Here is a 6,068-nt window from a genome sequence, read left to right as displayed (position 1 = left end):
ATGGGTGTAAGACACATTCTTTACCACATATCTGGAAACCATCCTTGACTCATCGTTGTGCCTTAGCAACCACATCTGATCAATCACAAAGTCCTCTTCATTCTACTTATGAATTGCCTCCAAAATCCATCTATTTTCTCTCCATTCTTACTGCTGCTATTACAGGACAGGTCATTGCTGTCTAAAATCCTATATGACTGCACCTGATCTCTTTGACTACCATCCTGTGATAGATTACCTATAGACTCTCTTACATGCTGGTTCTTCTTCCTGAAACGTTATTATTACACCTTCTCCCACCAACTTTGATATTTCCAACTACTATTCATTCCCCTAGTTTTAGCTCATTCATTACTTTTTGCTAGGAACCTTTCTCGACCCTCTCCTCCCTACTTAGTTGTCACTCAAATGAGTTCCCACAATACTCTGTTTAAAAAGTTTTACTCTCTTGCTATGCTTACATCATAAAGATGGCCTATCTCATTCCTTGCTGTATCGCCAGTGCCTAACACAGTGACTCCATGCTTAATAAATATTTATGGAATGAACACATAAATATATTCAAGTAATTTTATTGAAATATAACATGCATAAAGAAAAGAGCATAGAGAAGCACACGTCCCAACAAATGAAATATCACAAAGTAAACTCATGGGTGTAAACCAATTCAAAGATAGAACACCCCAGAAGCCCTTCGTATAACCAACCCCAATTATTAACCGCCTCCTCTTTTCCAAAGGTCATTTTTACTCTGTCTATCATAATAGCTGAGTTTTGCCTGTCTTTGAAATCAATATAAATATAAATATACTCTTTTGCATATGGTCTTCTCACTAAATGTTTGTGAGATTGATCCATGTTATTGCATATAACAGTTCTTTCATTTTCATTGCTATCTTGGTTTATCACTGCATGAATATGCCATAATTTACCAAAATTTGTTCATTCCACTTTTAAATATCAATAAAGTTGTTTTCGATGTGAGACTATTATATATAATATTGCTATGAACATTTATTTATATGCTGTTTATATTTCTGAACATATATATGCATTTCTGTGTGGTATATACCTAGGAATAGAATTGGCAAGACATAGTGAATGTGAACTTCCAAATATAATGAAAATTGCTAAACAGATTTCCAAAGTTATATCATTTTACACTTCCAGCAGTTAATGAGATTTCCAGTTGCTCCACATTTTTGCCAACACTTTCTGCTAGTATTTTTTCTCTTCTATTTTAAAAAAATTAGCCCTTGCGATGTGTATTGTATATAATGTTATTTTGAAGCCAGGCAAAGTGGCTCATGCCTGAAATCCTAGCAACTTGGGAGGCTGAAACAGGAGGATGGATCACTTGAGCCCAGGAGTTAAGGACAAGCCTGGGAAACATAGAGAGCATCCATTTCTAAAATATTTTATATATTTTTTAAATTTGCCAGGCATGGTGGCATGTGCTTGTAGTTCTAGCAGGCTGAGGTGGGAGTATCAATTGAGCCCAGGAGTTTGAGGCTGCATTGAGCTATGACAGCGCCACTGCACTCCAGCCTGGGAGGAAGAGCAAACTTGTTTCCCCCCACTTATTTAATTGTTTACTTATAAACTCCTATTTTAGGTTCAGGCATACATGTGCAGGTTTGTTATACAGGTAAATTGTGTGTCACAGGGGATTGGTGTACAGTTTATTTTGTCACAGGTAAAAAACATAGTACCCAGTAGATAGTTTTTCAATCCTCACCCTCCTTCCACAATGCACCCTCATGTAGTGTCTATTGTTCCCTTGTTTGTGTCCATGTGTACCAGTGTTTAGCTCCCACTTACAAGTGAGAACATGTGGTATCTGGTTTTCCGTTCCTGTGTTAGTTCGCTTAGGATAATGGCTTCCAGCTTCATCCATGCTGCTACAGAGGACATGATCTTTTTATGGCTGTGTAGTATTCCATTGTGTACATGTACCATATTTTCTTTATCCAGTCTACCATTGATGGACATTTAAGTTGATTTCATGTCTCTGCTATTGTGAATAGGGCTTCAATGAACAGAAACGTGCATGTGTATTTATGGTAGAATTACTTATATTATTTTGGGTATATACCCAATAATGAGGCTGCTGGCTTGAATAGTAATTCTGTTTTAGGTTCTTTGAGAAATTGTCAAACTACTTTCTACAATGGTTGAGCTAAGTTAAATTCCCACCAGCAGTGTATAACCTTTTCTCTGCAACCTCACCAGCATCTGTTATCTTTTGATGTTTTATAATAGCCATTATGGCTGTTGTGAGATGGTATCTTATTGTAGTTTTGAGATGGTGTCTCATTGCGGTTTTGATTTGCATTTCTCTAATGATTAGTGATGTTGAGGATTTTTCCATATATTTCTTGGCCACGTGTATATCTTCTTTTGAAAAGTGTCCATTCATGTCCTTTGCCTACTTTTTAATGGAGTTGTTTATTTTTTGCTTTATATTTTAAGTTCCTTACACATTTTGGATATTAGACCTTTGTTGGATCCATAGTTTGCAAATATTTTCTTCTATCCTGTAGGCTGTCTCTTTACTCTGTTGATAGTTTCTTTTGCTGTGAAGAAGCTCTTTAGTTTAATTAGATCCCATTTGTTGATTTTTATTTTTGTTGCAATTGCTTTTGGTGTCTTCATCATAAAATCTTTGCCAGGGCCTATGTCCAGAATTGTATTTCCCAGATTTCCTTCTAGGGTTTTTATAGTTTTAAGTTTTACATTTAAGTCTTTAATCCATCTTGAATTGATTTTTGTATATGGTATAAGGAAGGGGTTCAGTTTCAATTTTCTCTATATGGCTAGCCAATTATCCCAGCACTGTATATTTAATAGAAAGTTTTGTCTTCATTGTTTGTTTTTGTTGCCTTTGTCAAAGATAAGATGATTGTAGAGTTGTAGGTATGTGGCATTATTTCTGGGCTCTTTATTGTGTTCCATTTGTCTGTGTGTATGTTTTCATATCAGTACCACGCTGTTTTGTTTACTGTGGCCCTGTGGTATAGTTTGAAGTCAGGTAGAGTGATGCCTCCAGCTTTGTTGTGAATAGGGCTGCGATGCTTTTGCTTGCTTTTTTTTTCTTGCTTATGATTGCTTTGGCTATTCGGGCTCTTTTTTGGTTTCACATGAATTTTAGAATAGTTTTTTAAAAAGATTCTGTGAAGAATGTCATTGGTAGTGTGATAGGAGTAGCATTGAGTCTGTAAATTGCTTTGGGCAATATAGCCATTTTAACAACATTGATACTTCCTATACACAGGCATGGGATGTTTTTCCATTTGTTTGTGTCAGCTCTGATTTCTTTCAGCTGTGTTTTGTAATTCTTGTTGTAGACATCTTCCACCTCCTTGGTTAACTGTATTCCTAGGAATTTGATTCTTTTTGGTGCCTATTGTGAATGAGATTACATTCTTGATTTGGCTCTCAGCTTGGATATTTTTGGTGTATAGAAATGTTACTGATTTTTGTACATTGATTTTGTATCCTGAATCTTTGCTGAAGTTGTTTATCAGACCTAGGAGCTTTTGGGTAGAGACTATGTGGTTTTCTAGATATAGAATAGTATCATCTGCAAACAGAGATAGGTTAAATTCCTCTCCTCCTATGTGGATAACTCATTTCTTTCTCTTGCCTGATTTCTCTGGGTAGGATTTCTAGTACTTATGTTGAATAGAAGTGGTAAGAGAAGGCATCTTTGTCTTATTCTGGTTCTCAAAAGGATTGTTTTCAGCTTTTGCCTATTGAGCATGTTGTTGTTGGCTGTGGGTTTATCGTAATTGGCCCTCATTATTTTTAGGCATGCTCCTTCAGTGCCTACATCATTGAGGGTTTTTAACATGAAGCAATATTTAATTTTATCAAAGGCCTTTTCTACGTCTATTGAGATAATCATGTGGTTTTTGTTTTCAGTTCTGTTTATGTGATAAATCACATTTGTTGATTTGTGTTTATGAACCCAGCTTGCATTCCAGGGTAAAGCCTACTTGATTGTGGTGGGTTATTTTTTTGATGCGCTGCTGGATTTGGTTTGCTAGTATTTTGTTAAGGATTTATGCATCAATGTTCATCAAGAATATTTGCCTGAAGTTTTGATTTTTTTTTGTTGTGTTTCTGCCAGGTTTTGATATCAGAATGATGCTGTCTTCATACAATGAGTTATGGAGGAGTCCCTCCTCCTCATTTTTTTGGAATATTTCATTAGAAATGGTACCAGCTCTTTTTTGTACATCTGGTAGAATTTAGCTGTGAATCCATCTGGTCCTGGGCTCTTTCTGGTTGGTAGGCTTTTTATTATTGATTCAGCTTTGGAACTCATGATTGGTCTGTTGAAGGTTTCAATGTCTTCCTGGCTTAATCTTGGGAGGTTGCATGTTTCCAGGAATTTATTTGTTTATTGTAGGTTTTTTAGCTTGTGTACATAGAGTTGTTCATAGTAGTCTCTGAGAGGTTTTTTTTTTTTTTGTATTTGTGTGGAGTCAGTGGCAATGTTCCCTTTGTCATTTTTTTATTGTGTTTATTTACTTGGGTCTTCTTTTTTTCTTTGTTAGTCTAGATAGCAGTCTATCAATCTTATTTATTCTTTCATGTTACAAATATCTGCATTCATTGCTCTTTTATGTGGTGTTTCATGACTCAATTTCCTTCAGTTCAGATTTTGTTTTTTGCTTGTCTTCTGCTAGCTTTGGTGTTGGTTTGCTCTTGTTTTTCTAGTTCCTGTATGTGTGATGTTAGGTTCTTATTTTGAGATCTTTCTACCTTTTTGTTGTGGCCATTTAGCACTATAAACTTTTCTCTTAACACTGGTTTAGCTGTGTCCCAGAGATTCTGTTATGTTGTGTCTTTGTTCTCATTAGTTTGAAGGAATTTCTTGATTTCTGTCTGAATTTCATTGTTTACCATTCAGGAACAGGTTGTTTAATTTCCATGTAATTGTATGGTTTTGAGCAGTCTTCTTAGTATTGACTTCTATTTTTATTGCACTATGGTCCAAAAGTGTAGTTGGTATGATTTCAGTTTTTCTGAATTTGCTGAGAATTGTTTTATGGACAATTGTGTGGTCGATTTTAGAGTGTGTGCTCTAAAATCAATGTAGATGTGAAGAATATATATTCTGTGTAGATGTATGAACACCATTGACAATCAGGAAAATGCAGACTAAAAGCATAATAACTTTTTTTCAGTCACAGTGTGTAGATGAGAATATATATTCATTGCTTTTGGGCAGAGAGTTTTGTAGATATCTGTTAGATCCATTTGGTCAAGTGTTGAGTTTGGGTCCTGAGTATCTTTGTTAGTTTTCGGCCTTGATGATCTGTCTAATATTATCAATGTGGTGTTGAAGTCTCCTACTATTATTCTGTGATTATCTAAGTCTCTTCATAGGTCTCTAAGAACTCACTTTATTAATCTGGCTCCTGTGTTGGGTGCATATCTATTTAAGATAGATAGGTCTTCTTCTTGAATTGAACCCTTTACCATTATGTAATGTCCTTCTTTGTCTTTCTGTTGTTGTTGTTATTGTTGTTGTTGTTGATTTAAAATCTGTTTTGCCTGAAATTAGAATAGCAACCTCTGATTTTTTCTGTTTTCCATTGCTTGGTAGATTTTTCTCCATCCCTTTACTTTGAGCCCATGTGTGTCATTGCATGTGAGATGGGTCTCTTGAAGACAGCACACAGTTGGGTCTTGCTTCTTTATCCAACTTGCCACTCTGTGCCTTTCTTTTTCTTTTTTTTTTTTTTTTTTGACAATCTCACTCTTTTGCCTAGGCTGGAGTACAGTGTACTATCTCAGCTCACTGCAACCTCTGTCTCCCCAGCTCAAGTGATACTCCTGCCTCACCCTTTCAAGTAGCTAAGACCACAAGTGTGTGCCACCACACCCAGCTAATTTTTGTATTTTTTGTAGAGGTAGGGTTTTGCCATGTTGCCCAGGCTGGTCTCAAACTCCTGGGCTCAAGTAGTCTCCCCAACTTGGCCTCCCAAAGTGCTGGGATTACAGGTGTGAGCCACCATGCCTGGCCCACTCTGTCTTTTTTTGTTTGTTTGTTTTGT

Source organism: Homo sapiens, chromosome 18 (assembly GCF_000001405.40).
Source record: "Homo sapiens chromosome 18, GRCh38.p14 Primary Assembly".
Lineage (NCBI taxonomy): Eukaryota > Metazoa > Chordata > Mammalia > Primates > Hominidae > Homo > Homo sapiens.
The sequence above is the reverse complement of the archived record's forward strand: the minus strand, read 5'-3'. Positions refer to the sequence as shown.